Source organism: Homo sapiens, chromosome 5 (genome assembly GCF_000001405.40).
Source record: "Homo sapiens chromosome 5, GRCh38.p14 Primary Assembly".
Lineage (NCBI taxonomy): Eukaryota > Metazoa > Chordata > Mammalia > Primates > Hominidae > Homo > Homo sapiens.
Genome location: NC_000005.10, coordinates 83,651,104 through 83,674,101, shown reverse-complemented (window position 1 = coordinate 83,674,101; position 22,998 = coordinate 83,651,104). Strand labels below are relative to the sequence as shown.

At 37.0% G+C, this 22,998-nt stretch overlaps 1 protein-coding gene across 7 annotated transcripts in view; it reads left to right on the top strand.

Moving 5' to 3' along the window:
* HAPLN1 (hyaluronan and proteoglycan link protein 1) overlaps nucleotides 1-22,998 on the top strand; it is an 83,051-nt gene that overhangs the window by 46,754 nt on the left and 13,299 nt on the right. For 4 of the 7 annotated variants that reach the window (NM_001884.4, XM_017009051.2, XM_017009052.2 and 1 more), the window contains 2 exons: nucleotides 553-678; nucleotides 21,278-21,649. In NM_001884.4, coding sequence (NP_001875.1) covers nucleotides 579-678; nucleotides 21,278-21,649 — 472 coding nt within the window. In that variant the 5' untranslated portion in view covers nucleotides 553-578. Of the gene's footprint in view, nucleotides 1-509; nucleotides 679-21,277; nucleotides 21,650-22,998 lie in introns of those variants that run through there. The other 3 variants (XM_017009053.2, XM_017009054.3, XM_047416737.1) reach the window with 2 other exon arrangements.

Below are 22,998 nucleotides of genomic sequence, written 5' to 3'. Positions count from 1 at the left end.
TGCTTAATCGGGCACTTTTTTTTGGTCCTCTTTTCTATTTGGAACAAGCAAGTCTAACCTTCTTAGGAAGCCACATGTAAAATGAATGACGATGTCAAGTTTCATGCAAATATTATTTGCCCTGGCTTTAGATTCACTTTCTAATTAGACCAAGTGATACTCATATACAGACATAACACATTGCTGTTTTATTAACTTATGTTGCAAATTCAGAGGCTTACATTTTTTTAAGAGTGTGTATGTTTTTGCCACATCTCTTTGTTACTTGCTGTAATTCTCTATCCAAACTACAGTGTTTTAAATTTCTAGATTTACAATTCTGCAAAGATAGAGTTAAACACTATTTGGACTCTGGCTACATGATGGTAGCAGGAATTGTTCAAAGCTGCCGTCTTCGGCTCTTAAAGGCAGCTACAGTAACTTTCTGAACAGATTGGGTTAAATATTTTTACAGACCCATTCTATGATGATAAGGCGGTAATAAGTTGTGCAGTGCAACACTCCAAAGGGTTCCAAATCTCACAAGCCTCTTTGTATGTGATGCTCTCGCAGTGAAGAAGATTCTTTGGGCTATAAAGATGAAGAGTCTACTTCTTCTGGTGCTGATTTCAATCTGCTGGGCTGATCATCTTTCAGACAACTATACTCTGGATCATGACAGAGCTATTCACATCCAAGGTAAGGAAACACAGCTTCTCTTATCAAAGCCTAATTAATTTTAAGTTACTTAGAGTTGAGATGCTGGGCTAGTGTTTCTTAATTTTAGTTCTGCTGCATTGACTTTTTCTTTCCCTTTCTGCTAATTGGTGAACGTGTTCCCTGGCTTTTAAACACTATTGCATTACAGTAGAGTTAAGAATTGGGGACAATTAAAGTTGAGTAGCTTAAGAATGTCCAGCTGCAGTGAGTTGGTATAATCGTTCAAGGCTGTTAAGTGCAGTTGCTATCTTCAAGTAAAATGGAGGCCATAAAGTTCATTTAAATGCAAGTCAGAGAGAGAAAATAGGAAGTAAAACTTAGGATATAAGGTCATTCTGTTAGAGTAACTGTTTAATCATTAAGAGAAACAATATAAATAAAATGAAAATTAGACAAGCTATTGTCCAGGAAAAAGTAGTTTACCCTATTATAATCTGCTTCAGTTAAGCTTTAGCTCCTATAGACCAATACATTGCCCCTGCACATTTCTGTTCAGCTCAGCTGATTCCTAAGCCTGAGAGCTGTAGCAGGATTTGAGGCTGCAGTACAATGCAGCTATTTCCTCAGTCCCAGCTTCAGATGAGGGACATCCTGCATTAAGAAAGCTGAGACTTATGCAATAAGAGGAACAGTTCTTTCCTTGCCCTTGGATGCTGAATAATTAAAAAAGGAATTATAGAACTTAACAGTTTAAGCAGATGATGATAATTTTAGATAAACTCCATTGGGGTACCAGAGGCATGATAAGTTTGCTAAGAGACATAAAACTCTAAGTTACATCTTCAAGGTCAAAAGCGTAGCCTCAGTAAACTGCATTCACTGTGAAAAGTATGACTTGTGAAGGTCAAATGATAGTGTAAATCTGTCTAGAAGTATTTTCCTGTACGTATTATGACTACCAAAATAGAATTCTGAATTTGTCTATGTCTAGCTATTTTAGACACATCTCTTTTAGTTTTGTTTGCTTCCAACAGCTTTATTTTTTTCTCTGTTGAACTGAGAAAAGAAATTGTAATCATACATTTTACTCTGCAAGCTGCTGACTCAGCTGTTTCTGTAATATATAGTAGAATCAGAGCTGTTTCCCAAAGACCATATGATATTTACACATAGAGATTTCTAATGAGGAATAATACCCTTTTACCTTCTAGTGACAGAATTCTAGTGACAGAATTCAATTCAGCCAAAATAGTAATACCTAGTCGTTATTAATAATACCAGTTTTATACCCAATGCAATAGAAACTTAAGCCATGGTTTCAAGTTATTAGATGACAGATACCAAAGTTGTATTATGAATTGTGTACAAACCATTTAATGAAAATTGCACTCAGAGTATGAGAATAGTGTTTTAAAAATGTACTAACATTTGAAAAATTACTCCTATAAGTCAGACTCAAGTTATCTCAGGAAGGAAAACTTCTGTTACTCCAGCCTTTCCATTCCCATCTCCTCTGTTGAAACTTAGTGCAAGGGGATTTCTGACCCAGAGTATCAGGATTATCCAGATTATTTGCATACACTGTCCACATTTTTAAAAAGGCTTGATAGTCCACTTCATTTTAATTGTAAATTCATATTCTTAGAAAGTGCAGGCTTGCCTCGAAGAGTTGCTAAAGAGCTTTCAAGTAATAGAACTATATTTGGCTTGTGGAAATTTAATGCTGAAATGTGATTTGGGTCATAGGATTATGATGTTATGCCCGTAAATGAAATACCTGTTCTCATTACTTTTTTCCCAACAATTTTTTTGTGATAGCATTCAGATTGAATTTTCAAATCCCATAGTTCTTCAGAGAAACTGCTTCCAAGTGACCTTCCATAATTCCAGCTGTTTTTTATAATGCAAAAATAAATCAGGTAGCACAAGAATCAACAAAGCAGATTACTTACTTGCTTCGTTACTTACTTGAAATACTGCATATTTTCTTATATTTAAAACTTTTATTTATCAAACATAGCCCAGAAGGAATTTTAGGGAGCTGAAATCCTCACAAATTTTTTGAAGAATTTAGTCAGATGATTAAATTAGCTATCTCAATCTCAGATTCTTGAATGGTACTGATAAGCAGTATGAGCTTCTGTTAGTGATGGAAAATAGTTGAAAATTCACGTTGCTGTAAAAATATCATTACTCTCTCCTATTTTTGATTAGATTTCTATTTTTGTACTCCAAGTTCCCAAGGTCTGAACAACATTGGGAAAATTGTGCAAATCAGCCTCAACTTTTTGTTGGCTGCCTTGATGCAGAAGCTCAACATTTTAATGATACATTTTTGAGTTCCATGTGTATGGGTTAGCTAATTGTTTTTCTGAAGCCTCCTCATAATTTTGTTGTGGGAGGTTTTATAGAGATATAGACACACACAAAAAAGTTTAATCTGGATATTAAAAAAGAAAGAAAGAAAGAAAGCCAGGCATGGTGGCTCATACCTGTAATCCCAGCACTTTGGGAGGCCGAGGCGGGTGGATCACGAGGTCAGGGGTTTGAGACCAGCCTGACCAACATGGTGAAACCCCGTCTCTACTAAAAATACAAAAATTAGCCGGGCGTGGTGGCAGGTGCCTGTAATCCCAGCTACTCAGGAGGCTGAGGCAGGAGAATTGCCTGAACCCGGGAAGCAGAGGTTGCAGTGAGCCGAGATGGTGCCACTGCACTCCAGCCTGGGCAACAGAGCGAGACTCCATCACACACACACACACACACACACACAAAACAAAGGTAAAAAGGCAGATGGCCAGGAAAGAAAATAGCAAGTGTAGACCCCTATGCAAGGTATTTCTAGTGAAAAACATTTCTCTGGTAATGAGAAAGAAATCTCTCCCAGCTTCCCATGGAAAAAGACTTAGCTTTAGATAAAAATTTCACACACACTAATCCATTTCCTTTAATTTTTCATTGAAATAATTTGATCATACAGGAAAGCAAACTTCATTTGTCCACAAAGTCTACTAAAAATATGCAATCAAGATATTAGCTTGTATATAACATACTGTCCTCAATGTAGGCAATAGTTATGTTCTCAAATACCTCTACAGGAAGAGGGGCCACTGTTAATATCCTCTCTATACACTAAACTAATGGATTTTGTTCCTCATGTCACAATGTGGCTACTTTACTTTACTTTTAAATCCTTTGAAACTTGAGACCATTAGGAAGAGTTTTACATGGAGTATCAAATCACACAGAAAGAATAATATTTATAATATTTGTATCAGGTCCAAAAACTTTTGTGTAGCCTTTCAACTACCATAGAATTTTAGAGATGATGAATACACTCTTCAAAATACAACTTTTTAGAAGACATTTACAGATAACAGAGAAATTTTATGACCATTTGCCTATTAACCAATATGCAAAGCAAAATAGATGAACATGTAACTACTTGACCTTATCAAGGTCAGAGTCAGTGCTTCCTGCATTTGGTGTTCAAGCAGAGGTCTTCTGATGACAAGTTTCAGTCTTTCCTGTAATGCCACTAACTAGCTTAGACCTTGGAAAATTTACTTAATCTCTCCAAATCCCAGTTACCCCTCTGTAAAATCAGACCTAATGCCTGCTTATTCAATAGAGCTTTGTGAGAATTAAATGAGATAATATGTGGAAAGTGCTTAGTACAGTGCCTGGTTCCCAAGAGCCAATACTTATCCAGGTGGTTGTTATCATTATGTTTATTGCTTCCTCCCTGTTATGGAAAATTGATTTTTAAATAGAAAACAGACTACAAATACTGGTCAAAAAAATTCATGCTTTTCAAAGTACATTTGTTAACAGAACATATCATCACCTTAATTCTAATAAAGTAAACATTTTATAAGTTCTTTTCTTTGCCTTCTTTAATTTCACAATTTAAAATGTCCCCATTCATATTATTACTTTAATTTTTATTTATTTATTTATTTTTGAGACGGAGTCTTGCTCTCTCGCCCAGGCTGGAGTACAATGGCTCAATCTTGGCTCACTGCAACCTCTGCCTCCCAGGTTCAAGAGATTCTCCTACCTCAGCCTCCTAAGTAGCTGGGATTACAGGTGCCTGCCACAGTGCCCTGCTACTCTTTGTATTTTTAGTAGCAGCGGGGTTTTGCAATGTTGGCCAGGCTGGTAATTCCTGACCTCAGGTGATCAGCCCACATCAGCCTCCCAAAGTGTTAGAATTACAGGTGTGAGCCACCACGCCCAGCCTCCCCAGTCACATTAAATATTATCTGACCATTTTTACTTTCCTGGTAGAAACTAAAGTTCTCCAAACATAAGTAATATTTTCCCTTAATGTATTTACTATGTGAGCACAGATCCGCTACTTTAAATTTTTGTAAGGCAGAACAAGAGGAACTCCCAGAAATGAAAACTGTGTCCTTCTATTTAATAAGTAAAAGTAATTGTCACTTTTGTCAACAAATAAAACAAGTAGATTTACTTAATAAGGAATTGCCAGAAGTTTATGTCTGTAAGTAGAAAAAAATAAAGTCTATCCAGAACCGCTGGCAGAAGTGCACACTCCTCTCTCAGCTTCACTATTCCTCCTCCTGCTGCGTGTCCTGAACCTGCCTCCCCTTCTTCAAATCTGGTTCAGTCCTCACACGGACTTCCTGCTAACATGCCTCCCTCCCTCATCAGATTGTCTCTCAGCTTTGTAACTAACTCCAACTATAGAGCAGTGCCAGGCACATAGTAGGTGCTCAATGTATGTTTGTTGAATAAGTGAGTGAACAAATGAATGATGAAGGTAATGAGATACTTCTAAATTGTCACTACCATAATGAGCATTTGTTAAATGCTGTGACATCGCTGGCATTTAGCAGCATGTGACACATTGTGTGCACTTAATGAACATTAGCTAGATGACTGCTTTCACTCCGTAATGTTGGCATCAGCTAAATCATAGTTCACACAATTTAAGAACTTAAAAGGACTTTGGTAGCGATTGTCTAGACCAATCTTCCAATTCGCGAATGAAGAAGTCAAGACTCAGAGCTTTGCATTGCTTGTCCCAGGCTACCTGGCTGATAAAAGTCCGTTTATCTAGTTAACCCCTTCCTTTACTTCAAATCTGAGCTTATTTCTCACCTTTTTAATGAAGTCACCCTGACTATTGCAATCTGTCCCCCTCTGGTATCCTAATCTCTCTCACCCTTCTTTTCTTTCTCTCTGTAGCACTGGCTGTATACTCTACTTATTTTTATGTAATTGTTTGTCATCTGTCTCTACCACAAGAATATTGAACAGCTTCATGAAGGCAGGAATCTTTGTGTGATGCATCCCAGTCACATAAACCCAACAACTGGCACATAGTAGGTGATCAATACATGTTTGCTAAATAAATCCAGGACCAAAATCCAGTTGTTTTTTCTAATCAAGTTTTGGTTCAGCCTTTCCAAATCCCAGGGAAATATTTTCAATTCATGGAATGAGAAGCAGCAGATGAACAAGAGAATTATGAATTTGGGTTGCAAATTTTGTTTGGTCTTGTGCATGGCTCCCACATAACATGCAGCATCTGATACTCCATGAGAGTCCGCCAAAGACAAGTTGCAGCAATCTTCCTCATGCATGTATGCATCTTTGAAGAGTATTGGATTTACATTTGGTCACTGAAATGCTATCCTGTTCCTTATGTAATAACTGCAGATTTGGGATTTGGTGGTACAGAATGTATCACAAGGAGTGGGTGAATCTAATAATGTATGATCACAAACCATCTATAGAGCCAAAGTTTAATGGGAGAACTGGATACATGTTACTCTGTCTTAATTTTCTCTCTCCCACCTAAAACTTATTTAAACTATCTGAGTCTGTTTGGAAAAGCTACATCAATTCATTTTCGTCTTTTTGAGGCAGAATATCTTATTTGCAGCCACCAAAGCAAAATCTACAAATACCAGGAAAAATATCTACAAATATTTTATAAATCACAGGTGGAAATATACTTATATATATATAGTTAATAATTCTGTCTAAAAACTAATAGCTATAAAACATCAGAGAATTCCATCGTGGAATTATAAAAATTAGCACATCATCCATATTAGATGACTAAATCTTAAATTTCTTATCAATTTACAAGAGGGCATGAAACCAAAAATGAAAATAAGAACACACAGCATTAAACATAGGCTTGCCATTTGATCAAACTTGGAATATCACCATATTAATATAATAAATGAGCTCAAAAGTAAAGAACAAAAGTATATATGTAGGAGTATACATACATATGTAAAAATGCTCATATATTGCACCCATGCATATACACCTATAGACAACTTATTTATTCAACAAATGTGTTAGGTGCTTATGTAGTGGCATTAGGGATATGATGACAAAACATACAGTCTCTGCATTCAACAATTTATAGTCTAGTGAGAGAGACAGTCATTACTAAGAATAAAGAGCTATTAATCATGGTAACAGAAATATATATTTTCTTACCAACTTTGCTTCTGTCAGTAGGCATAATTGCTAGCCCATGTCCTTGTCTTCTTTGTATTTGTGTGTCCTTTTGAGAAAACAGAATTCAGCCATTTGCTGAACATTGGCCACCTCCATGCAAAACACTGGGTTATTCTCTGTGGAAATATAAACCATCTCCTCAGTGTGTTTACTGACAATATTATCAAGGCAACAAGCAAGCAAGAAAAAATAAAATAAGTGTTAAATAAAGGTGGAAATGTAGAGAAAAGAGTAAGTAGTTACCAAACTAAAAGAGCTTATTATTTAGAACTTTGAACTATATCCATTAAATTTTTAATCACTTAATAGAGCTGAACTCATAAAATACATCTTAAGAATATTTCTAAACTTGATATTGAAAAATCTAGAATGCTGAATTCTATGCTATTCTGTGAACTATTAAAACAATACAGTTCTATAATATTTCCAGGTATAAAAGCTTATATTGAATAATCTTTGCAGGTAGTAACAAATCCATACTAAACAGACATTGTTTTCTCTGTTTTATCCTTTGTGCTGAAATCAGCATAGTATGTGTGAAGCCAATGATTGTTTGGAAACTCTCCCAAATACCAAGAAAATCCTATTAAATAGTGACGCCTTTCTTTTTGGTTGCAGCTCTACAAGAACCTTGACTCAGCTAAAGCACTATAGCTTAATGGCTTAGTATTACAGTGATTTCAACATGTTGATTCTCTGATTTTACCAAATATCAAGAAATAATAGCTTTAGATTTCTTTATTGATTATGTTCTTTAAGTGGAAAGTGGAAAATTACCATTTTGGAAGAGTCTTTTGGAATACAAACACCAAAATGCTAAGAAATTAAAATATTCAATCAAGAGGTTATCAAACTAATAGTATCTAGGGAGAAAATGAAATCGTTTTTAAAGCAATATTCTTATTTCAAAATGAAAACATTAAAAACATAGGAAATTATTTGAAATAAAATTACTTCAAAAATATTTTGTGTATTTTGTGTTGCCACAATACACTAGCCCTAGACTTGTCTGCCTTCAAGAATGATTATCAAGTAGTCAGTACAAATAGTATCATTTTAATCTTGGTTTAATTCAACATGTTGGTTACTTGACTTCACTGTTAGTCAGTGACTAGTCACCATGTCTAAGGTGTGTGGAGTAATATTTACATGCTCAGGGATTGTGCTGTGGAGTATACTGAACAAAATAAGTTAAATAAGAATTCTCTCTACCTTTTCCAAACACTGTTGACTCAAAAGAAAAACAGACATTTTGGATTTAGAAAACCCAGAAAGGCCATAATCCATCATGTATAAAATGAATGAAGTATGTTAGAACAAGAAGCATTTTACTACAGTCAAGTATGGAGATTAGGTAAAAAAGTAGGAACAAAGGAGAGTCCTATCTTATTTCTAAAGAGGGATTGAAAGTTTAAAATAAAAACGCCTTTGAAAACATACCCTTGAAGGGAGGAGATTTCCACTTCTAGCTGATTCTATTTGAAATGCTGCTTCCCTCCCTGCTTTAGCTTGTTCCTGGAAAGCATTGGAAATTATGTTGTCTTTTTGGCTCAGAGTTACTGAAGGGTAGAGAAAGAGCAGGTGAAAGGAAAGACATGTAAGTCAAAGATATGTATAATGTAGCCTTATACATTACAAGATATATGACACGAATATATTTTCTTTCTAGATGACTATATTTGTTCAGAATGATTTCACGATTATCTATGACTAATAATATTGCTGGCAAAAAATAATGAACACTTTTATACAAGGCTTTTTATTCTCTTTTTTTTTCTTTTTGGTTTCTTCAGCACAGAAAGGTAAATTACAAATTTTTAAATTTTCAAATTTTCTTCTCCAGTATTATATGGGTTATGAACAATTCTTACTTTCTCTTGAAAAATGTTGTCAATTATGCTGTCAGGTTTTAAATCTCCAAAAATCTGCATATGATTATTTTCATATCCTCATTTTGATTTGTCTTTTATCACAGTCATTAACAAAGGGTCTTAATTAAGAGCTTAAAGTACCAAAGTACTAAAAAGCTGATTAGATAGATAATGCTTCCTTTAAATGTTTCCGTATAAACAGAATACCTTATTCTAAAAGATGCATATGGTAACAGCATTTTATAGACCTCCCACAATATATTAAAATCAAAGTGTGTTCTAAAATAAAGCTTCCTGAACTTCGGCCTTTTTTCTTATAACTCATTATTTGGCTTATGTACATAATTGAATAAATAAATGAAAGCAAAATTACATATAAATAATAAATATAAAAGTTTTTTTTGGAAGACACAGTGGCTCACATCTATAATCCCAGCACTTTGGGAGGCCGAGGGGAGCAGATCATTTGAGGTCAGGAGTTTAAGACCAGCCTGGCCAACATGGTGAAACCCTGTCTCTACTAAAAATACAAAAATTAGCCAGACCTGGTGTCTCATGCCTGTAGTCCCAGCTGCTTGGAAGGCCGAAGCAGGAAAATCGCTTGAACCCGGGAGGAGGAGATTGCAGTGAGCTGATATTGTGCCACTGCACTCCAGCCTGGGTGATAGAGTGAGACTAGGGCTCAAAAAAAAACAAATGTTTTTAAGGGAAAAAAAGGTTGTGAGAGAGCACTGAGGGGGCAGTGGGCCCAATGGCGTTCGTTTGCCATTGAGGACGAGTTTGGGAGGTGCCCTCTAAGCAAGGACATCAAGCTGAGATCTGAATAATGAGTGGGAGACGGTCACATAAAAAACCAGAGGCAGAGCATTCCAGGGAGAAAAAGTAGAAAATGCAAATTCTCTGAGATTAGAATAGGCTTGATGCTTTCAAACCGAAAGAAGCCCAAGAGACTGCAGCCTGTCAGAGGGGAGGTTGTGCTTTCAGAGAGTAGGCAGGAGGCAGACCACAGTACTTTATAAGTGGTCCAGAGTTCAGAGTTCAGACTTTATTCCAAAATCATTTGAAAATGTTTAAAAGGTTTGTTTGAGCAAAGGGTGACATAATGTGATTTACATTTATAAAAGACCATGTGAATAATGGATTACGGTGGGCCAAGAGTAAAGGTGAGGCTACCTTTTAGGAGGATCTTGAAAGTTCAGGTGAGAAATCATGGTGGCAGGGACCAGGATGGTAGCAGTAAAAAGGGATGGAGATGAACCAATTTGAAAAAAAAAAAAAAAAAAAAGTGAAGGAAGAAATGGCAGCAATTACTGATAGATTGGATGTAGGAATTAAGGGAAACAGACACCTCAAGCTCAGCTGCTAGAGTCTGGCATGAACCGAAGGATGGATGATGGAGGCATAAACTAAATTGAGAAAGACTGGGAGAACAGATTTGGGCGAGGGAGGAGGGACTCAAGTTAGTTATTTGTCATTCAATATAGGACCAACAGGAAGATGGGTTTACTAGTTTCATGCTCAGGAAGAAGTATAATGCAAGAATGTTTTGGAATCATCAGCACATAAGTGGTATTTATAACTATGGGACCAGATGAGATCACCTGGGGAGGGGGAATATGCAGATAAAGGGAAGGAGATGGACCTAGTATGAGTTTTGAAGACCCTCAATACCGACAGGTGGGATAAAGGAAAATGCAGAGGGCACATATTCACTTCCCAGAGTCTGAACCTTGATCACTGATGTGTGGAATTACTTTTCTCATATGATTTTTTAAAATTTTAAATTAGTTGCAAGCATTTGGACATAAGAGATTTTTGCATTAAAAATGTATTTCTAGCCTCTGTTGAAAAATCCAAAGGCCTGCTATTTTTCAGCCTTCATCCTCTTAAGACAGCATCACTGGGAACCTGTATCTGCTGACTGTTTAGAACGGGGCCTGTGCTCCCCACAATAGGTACAGTCTTTTCCACTCTTTATCATCCTCATCATGTCCAGGTGCTCTCTTCACTCCCCTCAGCCTTGCCCACCTGGGCATTTGTGTTTGACTTGCCTTTTGTTTTGTTTCAGCACTAAACTTATTACCTGACCCATTGTAGGCTGTTGATTCATGTTTATTAGATAAAAAAATCAAAGTTCCTTTTTATCCTCTGTTGCCTCTAGGATTGACTCCTGTGATGGGATTATTTCGACGTCTTCTTTACTAAGTGAAGACATTAGCCTTATCAGTATATACAACCAACAGTGTCATTCTACAAATTACAAATTACTTAACCTCACACTTTACCACAAAGTGGAAGTGGTCTGAATGGAGACAAGTAGAGTTGAGCTCTATGCCTTTACCACATCAAGGCACATTTCCAACAATTAAGGAGTGGTAGATAATTACAGCCTAATGAAGAAGAATGACTCATGCTAATGTTTTCGTTTCCCCATATCCTTTGAAACAAACCTCTAATATAGTTAAACTCCTAGAGAGTATGTTTATATTAAGAATGTCACTCAACATATTAGTAAAATATTCTAATTTTATTTCATTTTCTTGTGTTCTTTAATCACTCTATAATTATGATAACCTGGTTTGTGTTTTCTAGGTCTAAAACATAAGCATTAAATGCTAGTTATTTATCCATAAATCTTTGATAACACAGAAAAATTTAAATTCTGAAAATTATTAACCAGAGCAGACAACTCTAAGTTGACAAAGATACTAAGATTATTTTTACTTCTATAACAAGTTACATCAGAATTAACAATGATAACAACAGTAATAAATTAATATTAACATTTAAAATCACTTACTATGTGTATTTCTCATAAAAAGTTCATTACCTGGGTCATCTCATTTAGCACTCACCATAAGATGATATAAAGATGGTTAACCAGCTGGGCATGGTGGTTCACGCCTGTAATCCCAGCACTTTGGGAGGCCGAGGGGGGCAGATCACCTGAGGCCAGGAGTACAAGACCAGCCTGGCCAACATGGCAAAACCCCATCTCTACTAAAAATAGAAAAATTAACCGGACACGGTGGCGGGTGCCTATAATCCCAGCTAAAAGATGGTTAACTTCCGAAATTGAGAAAGGTTACATAGCTTGTCCCAGGTCACATGGTTGTTAGGTGCTGAGGATGAGATTAAATTCAGGCAGATTGGCTCTTGTGCTCCAAACCCATACATGAACACACAGCAACATCAAAGCCTTTTCATGGCATCTTTTGCATGATGCAATAGGTAAAAATGGTCCCCATTTTATTCCATTCAATTTATATAACTACGTTTAAGAAGAAATAAAATCACTAAGAGAAATAAAGTTTGGTCTTGGGCTTTAGAGAAGCTTTTCTGGGCCGGGTGCCGTTGCTCACGCCTGTAATCCCAACACTTTGGGAGGCCGAGGCGGGCGGATCACGAGGTCAGGGATCGAGACCATCCCGGCTAACACGGTGAAACCCCGTCTCTACTAAAAATACAAAAAATTAGCCGGGCGGGGTGGCAGACGCCTGTAGTCCCAGCTACTTGGGAGGCTGAGGCAGGACAATGGCGTGAACCCGGGAGGCAGAGCTTGCAGTGAGCTGAGATCGCGCCACTGCACTCCGGCCTTCGCAACAGAGCAGGACTCCGTCTCAAAAAAAAAAAAAAAAAAAAAAAAAAAGAAGCTTTTCTCACAGACCACCATTGTGATTCTTAACAGGGGTAAGAGGAACAAGGAATGGATGGCAACTGCAAATATACACATTCCACATCCACCCCAAATACAAACTGTCTGAAACCCCCAAGGAAATAGAGGAAGGGGCAGACAGGAATTGAATACTATAGATACAGGTAGATATAAATGTAGATATAGATGGATAGATATAGGCACAGGTATAGATATAGATATAGATATAGATGACAAAGACATAGGCATAGGTGGAAAGATAGTGATGTTTGTTTAAAAAGGCTTCTAGAATAGTAGTCCTGAAATGCACTCCTGTCTTGCTAAGAACCACTAGATTAGGCGATCCTCAAGAGTTGATGAGATGTGAATTTCTCAGGAACCAACACTTTCTAGGAACTGCCTTCTGGAAGAGCACGGTAAAGAAGACAGTGTAGAAGATAGACGCTGTTTTGTACACCAGGCACATTTTAGACATGTAAATATTTGCTAGTAAGAGTCTACACCAGCTGGGCACTCACTATAGGCCAGGCACCAAGCTAAGTTTTCAATGTGAATTACTTCCTTTAACCCTCACAAGAACCCAGGGATGAAGATGACTTACTTCCATTTACTGATGAGGAAACTGAGGTACAGAAAGGTTAAGTGACACAATGTAAGAGATATAGTCCATATGCTTAACTAATACTCTATAACTGCTGAGAAAAGAAATGAAATAATGAATGTGGAAAGGCAGAAGCCACAAACAACTTTATCAACAGAACAGAGTTAAACTTCCTCCTCACACTTTACTTCTTCCTGCTAGAAAAAAAAGATTAAGAAAAGAGAATTAAGAGGAGACAGAATATTTATCAGGATATTATCAGAGTTTCTGGTGTACATCTCAGAACAGTGATTTTTAAACTATGTTCAGTTGACTTCCTAGAGCTCCTTGGGGCCTCGTGATGCCCATCTCAAGCAGAGAGGCTCACGTTTATAAGATTACATGGAAAAGGTTTGTCTTAGATATCCTTTGCGGGGGCAAGGAATTCCACTGTTCTTGAAAAACTTTTTTTAAACATTGCCATAGATAAACCTCCAGGCTCCAAAATAGTGATAGAATTTATCTTCATTTTTTTACTATGAAACATGGATCATAACATAGTACCCATTCATGATCAGCATCACTCAAAACAGTACTATATTTTGGTATTGAGCAGTTTCCCATCACATAATCCATTTAGCTCTAAGGAAAGAGAAAATGATGGATTTGGTCAATACCTACCAAATCATAGCTTCCTGGCATATCACATGTGATAATGCAGATCTCAACAGGAAGGCAAAACATGCCATTTGAGAAATTATAAAAACACAATTTAGCTGTAGATTGATAGCAAAGAGCAGAGCATGAAGACTACACAGTGGGTGCAGAGAAGGTAGCCCCTGGCAGGGTTGGGAAGTGGGCTGGATGGGAGGAGTACAATCTCGTAGCCTGTGAGACCAAAAGGCAGGTCACAGATGATGAAAAACAGCACCAATCACTTTATATCAAAGATCTCCACTTATCCTATTTTCAGCATTAGATTTTTTTCCTTTATGGTTCAAAACCAGACAACAATTACTATCTTCAGCAATAGTATCTTTAAAAAATAGGGAAATGTGATACCATGTATTTCGTGTTTTAAATACATGTTTAAAGATAACATTTTTAGTAACACAGCAATAGGTATACTGAGAAAATATAATCCTTCAATTATAATAATATAGTATAATTATGGCTACCAGCTTCTTGTGTAGAGAGACTCTAGATAAAAGGTTCTTGTCTATTTGTTAAATTCCCTCAACTTCTACATTTATTTTTATAAGATTTTTATTTAGTTTATGCATGGGTGGTACATTCACATGGTTTAAAATTTTTTAAATATGGAAGTGTACATGTGAAAATCTCCCAAGCCTTCCTCTACACACTTTTCCCCACAACTTCTCATAGTCTACCAAGGCTGTTAGTTTCTTGTGAATACTTTCAGATATACTTTATGTCAAACTACACTACACAAACTTTTGAATTCTCATAAATGGTAAGAAGCACACATACTCCTTTGTATCTTCAGGTCAAAGTTTAAACTTCCAGGTGAAAGCAAAGATGTGCCAGAGAAAAATTCCAGATTTTTTTTTTTTTTAAGATGAAGTCTCGCTCTGTCACCCAGGCTGGAGTGCAGTGGTGCAATCTTGGCTCACTGCAACCTCCGCCTCCCAGATTCAAGCGATTCTCCTGCCTCGGCCTCCCAAGTAGCTGGGATTACAGGTGTGCACCACCATGCCTGGCTAATTTTTGTATTTTTAGTAGAGACGGGGTTTCACCATGTTGGCCAGGCTGGTCTCAAACACCTGACCTCAGGTGATCCACCTACCTCTGCCTCCCAAAGTGCTGGGATTACAGGCATGAGCCACTGCACCCAGCTCCAGGTTTCAAATTCAAATAAAGTAGGTGAGGGCACAAGGCAAGAATGAGATCATTTTTCTACTACCTTTCTTACCGTCTTCCTTTCTAGAGACTCAAGATCCTCTGCATTCAATAATAGCTGGGGAAGCAAGCTAAAACTTGGTCTCTGATAAAAGTAATGAACTCTTTGAAAGAACAGTAAAGGCTGGACGCGAAGGGAGAGGGTTAGCATGGATGGGGGTGGGCACCTGGAAAGGTTTCTGATGCGATCTGATTAGACACATTAGAATCATGACCAAAAGATAGGTTCTTCTGACTCCAGGTGAGCAGTTTCAGGAGAAATTAGATTTCTTCCAGTCTTAAGGAAACAAAATAATGATAAAGTTAAAGGTTAATAAGTGAGGCACTCTTTATTTTCTAAATTTTGTGTCCTACTCAAATGTAATGTGTAAAGTACGAGAGACAAATGTTTAAATTACGTATTCTACTTAAATATGGTGTCTTTAATGTACATAACTGTTTTTATAAAGTGTTTTCATTTTAGAGAGGTAGTGTGGTGTGAAGCAAGCTCAGATATCCATGTTTACTGCCATAGCCAGGCCCAAGCTGTATGCAGCACTAGTATATTTCAGTCATAGACACTTATTGCATCAAGCACTATGTTGATGCTGGAGAAACAACATAAACAAGGCAGAGTGATTGTTTGCAATAGACCATGGTAAGCACAGTGATGGACACAAATCCATCCTGGCTGCTCATTCTCCTGCAGGCTTTGGCTACCCTAAGGAAAATAACAGCTTCCAAAGTGTTAGTATTAAACATCCAAATCTGCCAAAGTGTTAACAAATGTCACAAAATAAAGAACTGTTTTTAAAACCTTGTGCATTTTTTTTTCAAATAATTCATTATGGAGCTGACAATTGAGTCTATGTCTATCAGTTTGGAATGTCAGAAAGAAATTAACTTTCTGTTTGGGATGATGAAAAAGTTTTGGAAAGGGGTAGTGGTGATGGTTGCGCAACAAGGTGAAAGTAATTAATGGCACTGAATTAAACATGGTTAAAATAGCAATTTTTTAAATATATATTTTACCACAATGGACAAAATTAAATGATGGTGGTAGAGTATTTTCTTGGAGAGATTATTTTTAATGTTCTTATTTAGCCATCTTAAATACATTCCCCAGTTGGGTTTTTTTTTTTTTTAATTATTATTGATCTAGGAAATCCAAAAGTCTCGAGTCTAGTTCATCCATACACCAGTGGAAAAAGTAACCAACATCAAGCCTGGCTAGCTTGCACCATCCTCAATTCATTTTAAAAAGACAAACTTGTTTTTTAACATTGAAATTTTGATTTGTATCAGGGAGGTTCCCAAGGGCTTCACTTTCAAAATGAGTGGTGTAAGGACCATGAGAATGGAGGGATGAAAAAGTCTTTCTAATGGGAAAGGCTTTCTAGAGAGGAGCGAGGAAGCCCCTGACAACCGATCATCCCTGTCTTTCTCCAGGAGGGCTCCCAATTTCATGTAATGTCATTGTTTCCCATGATGATTCATAAAATGTATAACTACAAATGACCTAAGTTTAAGATATGACTTTGTATGGATTAAAAACAGAAACTTTGTGGCTCACGCCTATAATCCCAGCACTTTGGGAGGCTGAGGCAGGTGGATCACCTGAGGTCAGGAGTTCTAGACCAGCCTGGCTAACATGGTGAAACCCCATCTCTACTAAAAAATACAAAAAATTAGCAGGGTGTGGTGGCACGCACCTGTAAACCCAGCTACTCGGGAGGCTGAGGCAGGAGAATGGCTTGAACCCGGGAGGCAGTGGTTGCAGTGAGCCAAGTTGGTGCCATTGCACTCCAGCCTGGGCAACAAGAGTGAAACTCTGTCTTAAAAAAAAAAAAAAAGAAAACCAAAAACACACACAAACTTTGATCCATAGCACCCTTTCCTTTTTTCTATCACCTAGATTTCTGCGGGTATAAACCGCCAAATAAATTTTTATGCTTTTAATAGGACTAAGAACAATAGGCAGTGGTCCAATGTCATAGTTTTAAATTGTTTTTCTCCAGTTGTGCTTGTCCTATTGTTTAAAAGTCTTCATCTAAATTTCATAGCAAGTGTAAAGATCAGTTGTTTGCTCATGCCATTGCTTTTATTATTTGGTGAAACTAAATGATGTCCTCTGGATTTCACAGCAGAATTTGTAAGATAATAACGAGGCCCCAGCGGTTCAGTGAGTCCCCATTAGTGTTCTCACCAGGCCCTGCAGTTTCCCCTGGAGACAACTCTGAGCTTTGAAGGGCATCAGATCTTTCAAGTCATTGTCACTAATGGAAATGGGGAATTTATTTACTTGTAAATTGCACTTTAAAAAATTTCAGTCCCCCACTGGACATCTTCAATTTCCCCAATTTCAACATACAGCCTCATTTATGGACAAAATTAAGCTCTTCAACACTATGCAAGTGTTTATGTGCACCTTTTCACACTGAAAGGAAAAGGGGAAATGGACACTTGTATGCTACATAGTTTTATTTATTTTGCCATGTTGTTTTTTTTTTTTTTAAAGCAATACTCATTCTAATGATCAAGGTTTATTTTTATCTTTTGCATTTCAATTGCTATGCCACAGCCTGCTAATCAAACAGTTCTTTTTTTTTTTTTTTTTTTTTTTGAGACGTAGTCTTTCTGTGTTGCCCAGGCTGGGGTACAGCGACACAATCTCAGCTCACTGCCACCTCCACTTCCCAGGTTCAGGCAATTCTCCTGCTTCAGCCTCCCGAGTAGCTGGGACTATAGGCACACGCCACCATGCCTGTCTAATTTTTGTACTTTTAGTTGAGACGGGGTTTCACCATGTTGACCAGGCTGATCTCGAACTCCTGACCTCAAGTGATCTGCCCACCTCAGCCTCCCAAAGTGCTGGGATTATAGGCGTGAGCCACTGCACCCAGCCCCAATCAAACAGTTTTGATTTAAACATTAATTTCAAACTGATCCAGGAGTTTAAATCCAATTATCAGATTCAAGACTTTCTCTAGGCAAAAGTGTGCAAAGTTTGTAATCAACGCCTGTGGTTCCCTTTCCTCTGTCTTCACTCCTTTCATTTCCCTGTCTAATTCAGTGTGTTTCCTGGCTGGTCTCTGTGACGACAACCTGTGACATAGCACCTGATGAGAACTGCAAGCTCAAGATTCTCATGAGGTAGACTTAGCAGAGTCCAACAGCTAAGGCATGGGAGAGCCTGCAATAGACCACTTCTCCAAAATGCTCAGAGCTGTGTAATCTGAAGTGTAGATCTTCTAAAAGCAAACAAACAAACAAAAACATTATTCTCAAGGCCATGTTGGAGGTTTAGCCTAAGGAACCTTAATGGCCTTAGTCACTAAATATGTTACATACCTTTGCTAGGGTTCTTTGAATTTCAGCCAGAGACTTCTGGCATCTATTACTTCAACACACACACACACACACACACACACACCCCAAAGTGAATGAGAATGGTAGAATTTTATACATTTCGATAGGCTTGTTAAAAAACTATTTTGGGTGAGGGTCAGTGGATGTTTGGTGCCTGCTTAATTTTCAACATTATACCACACAAGTCATCCTCTATTCACAATGCTGGAGTAGAAATAAAACAAAAACAAAATCAGAAACCTACACTTCTAAAATACTGCAAGATGGTTTACAGTTAACCACAGAAAAAAATTAGAAGTCTGAGTCCCTTATACCAGAGTTTTGATCTTTGCCTTAACCCTTTAATTTATAAAACATTTAGACCTTGTGTTCATTCTGGAACAGTTTATGATTAAACTAAACCTCCCAAATTTCCAACTCTCCTATTTCCAAGTCTCACAGGTGGCATTTTATGTATTTACTTTTTACTCCACATGATTCAAAACTTTATAAATAAGTGAAATTATGGAAGACTAATATATGACAAAATTATGCTCTATATTGGGCAGTATCTTAGTTGGAAAATACTGTGTAAAATCTATGCAGTAGGAACAGTTTAGTAGTTAGTGTACACCTCGTATTGGTCAGCCATTGTCCTAAGTGCTTTATGTGTATTAGGTTAATTGTATATTGTAGGTAATAGTATCTGTAATTCACATATAAGGAAATTAGGGCTTAGAGGCTGCACAACTTGCCCAAGGCTACAGAGCTAGTAAATTGAGGAAGTGAGGTTAGACCAAGGTCTATGTCACATTAGAGCCCTTGTTCACAACTGCTATGATATCCTCTATGCCAGTGCATTTAGGCATTATTTTTGATTTTGAACTAAACAACTGAAAGAATAATGAAACTGAGACCTATTTTAGCTATGTGTCATATCTAAACTATGTTTCAGTATGGGAAGGCCCAGCTCCTGGAGTGTTCCCACACACCACCCTTGCCCCCCACAAGATACTGGTGAGGAAATGTTCCCTATGACCCTCAGGCATTACTGAGAAATCTTAGTCAACAGCACTTTTTCCTCCTCCTAGAAAGAAGGCACTAGAGATGTTTCAGTAGAAGTTGGATGCAGGCATTGTGGACATTGTAAGGAAAAACTTATATGTAGGGTAGAATTACATAGAGTTATGTTTTATATCTTGAGATTCTATGGTCCTAAATAATGAGATCAAGAATGGAATATAAAGGAAATGCTTAATGAGCTGGATTTGTGATTCCTCTTAACTAAGTAATAAATGAAGCCATTATCCTCGCATTTCATTATCTATTCAAAGTGAGGGGCATTGATGGCTTTGCTAAACTTTTCAGCTTTTTGAGGCTTGGGACTCACTTATAAATGAAATGATATGCTCATTAAAAATATTAATTCTGATTGCTATATGATAAAAATAGAGATGCTGTGTCTATTTTTTGGATACTTTCTATTTTAAAATCCAAATCCTATATTTGCCATTCAATAACTGTGTGTCTCAACATGGCTACTCTTCCCAGTGATTTGGACATCTTAAATGATTCATGGCAAAGGATTATTCAACACCTATCTGCCCAAGGCAGGAGGTCTGCAGAGTTGTGTGAAGGGCAGCTTTGGTAGCTATTAAAAGCTGTGTATAGACACAAAGATATCCGTATCCAGGAGCTCTTATGTCACTTTCTCATTTTCATATCTTGCACATCCTCAAGAGACACTGTCAAGGTCAAAAGCACAATGTGCTAGCCAGGGGGAAACCCCAGAGAAAGCCAAAATCTGAAAATAACAGCTGGTATGTAGAAAACGGCAGACCTGCTGACTTGGCAGGCTCAGGATATTGTGGTGCTCTTTGGAAGGCAATAGAGTCCTTGGAGGAAGGACTTGGAGGAAAACAAAAGGACAAGGAAAGGAAAGGTGGAAGTAATAAGATAACTGCAAAACAAGACATAGCAGAAAGCAAAGAGAGAGAATAGAAGGATATTTAAGGGAGTAAAGAAGCAAATAAGTATTTGGTTAATCAGAAAAGAAGTATAACTTTGGATACGTTTTTAACATCCAAATTTTGAGGAATACATTTCAAAATCTTCTGGAATTTGTCGAAAGCATTTATTAAAATTACCTTTGTCTAAACTTCCTGTGAAAACAAAATACATATTTCCTGAAATATTTCAGAAGAGCCTAACACAGGTGTATATTTGACTAGAAGCCATAAATGTGAGGATATTCTGAGTTCTTTGGCCAGAACTGTACAATGAAAGTGAATCATGTTGCTTCATATTTTGCCTGTAAGTACAATATAAACTTCTTGTATTAGAAAGCCCAGCTGGGTTTACCTTACCTTGAAATGTTTGGGTTTATATTGACGAACCCATCATGCAACTCTCTCACTTCTCTTGGTCTTGTTTCTATATTTTTGATATTTAAATGTAGAAGAAAAAATTGAAACAATAATAAATAGAATTTATTATGAAATCATTGACCTTCAGATGACTATGGAGTTTTATATCCAACATTTCTTACTGACGATAATGTAACTTCCTCCCCTTTGGTTTAAAAATGACTACTTTAGAGATACCTTCTAGTTATTAGAGGTCCCTTTCTATATGGTTCAAAAGAGATTACGTAGAGAAGCTAACCACTCAAAGCTATCCTTTGTCAGATATCCTATATATGTGATATATTTCATTTTATGAAAATGTCTGAAAGTATATTAATAGTTATTTTCTTTTTTTTTTCCTTTTTAATTATAGCAGAAAATGGCCCCCATCTACTTGTGGAAGCAGAGCAAGCCAAGGTGTTTTCACACAGAGGTGGCAATGTTACACTGCCATGTAAATTTTATCGAGACCCTACAGCATTTGGCTCAGGAATCCATAAAATCCGAATTAAGTGGACCAAGCTAACTTCGGATTACCTCAAGGAAGTGGATGTTTTTGTTTCCATGGGATACCACAAAAAAACCTATGGAGGCTACCAGGGTAGAGTGTTTCTGAAGGGAGGCAGTGATAGTGATGCTTCTCTGGTCATCACAGACCTCACTCTGGAAGATTATGGGAGATATAAGTGTGAGGTGATTGAAGGATTAGAAGATGATACTGTTGTGGTAGCACTGGACTTACAAGGTATGTATCTATAAGTCATGTTCAACGTATAAATGGTCATTAATAGTTGCTTTTTTTTTCATGAAGAGTAATGTCTAGTGGTTAACACAGTAATAAAGTGAAAAACCAAAGTCCTTGCCTGGCATCTTATTCTTTTGTATTCTACAGTCTGCCTATGATTCCAGCTTTCATGTTTGAAATGCATACACAATGCTTATGTGCAAAATTGAAGCTATTTGTAACTAGGAGAAACGTGCAGTGGAACTGAATTAACAGTTTTCAGATACTGCCTTATGTTATTCAAAATCATCTAAATTCCATTATATGGTTATTGAGAAATTCAGACTGTGTACTTTTTTTATTTTGTTTCTAAAATTATCTCAGTTTCAAAATAATGGCATGTTTTGTAAAGGACATCTGCTAACTAAAATATATGTAATTGTATTCTGTAAAATGACTGCAAAACCTTAATTCAACAAAAAAGTAATCTCTAGCTTTCTTTAAATATTCTTCTAAAGAAGTGATTTTGTAATGGTTCAGAGTCGCTTAGCCATACGGTCGAGGCATTTTGTGGGAGAATTCTATTTCTTAAATATGTAGGCCATTCAATAGGTTCAATAACCAACATGTGTACAAACCTGTACAATAAAAAGTGTCCTTGCCATCCTTGCCTCCCCTCTGCCCAATGTCCACCCTCTAGAGACCCTCCTCTCCTTAGTTTCTCATGGATCACAGGACACCTTATTTTTCGTAAATTTCAGCATTATTTTATACTGAAGGGTGGATTTTGGCAGCATTGAGAGAATGCTTTCCTTCCTTATCTACATAAAACTCTAAGTGTACGCTTGCTAGAAGCTCCTTTTACCCCTGAGGACAGATTTGTGTCACTATTTGACCTTTTGAATCCCATACAATCCTATCACATATATGGAGATTTATTTGCTTTATACATCTAATAAATTGCACAACATCGTAAAGTACATTTTTGTGACCTTTCGTTGTCTCTCATAGGTAGTTCTTGGCCCCTGAGTACATGCCACTTTTGCTTTAAGTTTTTATTGATTCATATTAATATCCATGAACATTGGCATTATTCAGGATGGAAGGAGTTGACTTAGAGAAGACAGTAGGTCATCAAATATTAATTGAAACTATTTATCAAAGGGGCATGGAAGGTTGGAGAGAGCCTTGAGCTAGTAGTATTAAGAGGCTTAGGTTCGCCTCAGCTCTGCCAGTATCAGTTTTGTAACTGGGGCAGATCACTTATCCTTAAACAAGTTTGAATTCTATTATCTGTTGTTACATTTTCTTCTAAAACCCTATGTTTATATAGCAAAATATTTCCTAAACTTAAGTAATTCACATGCAAT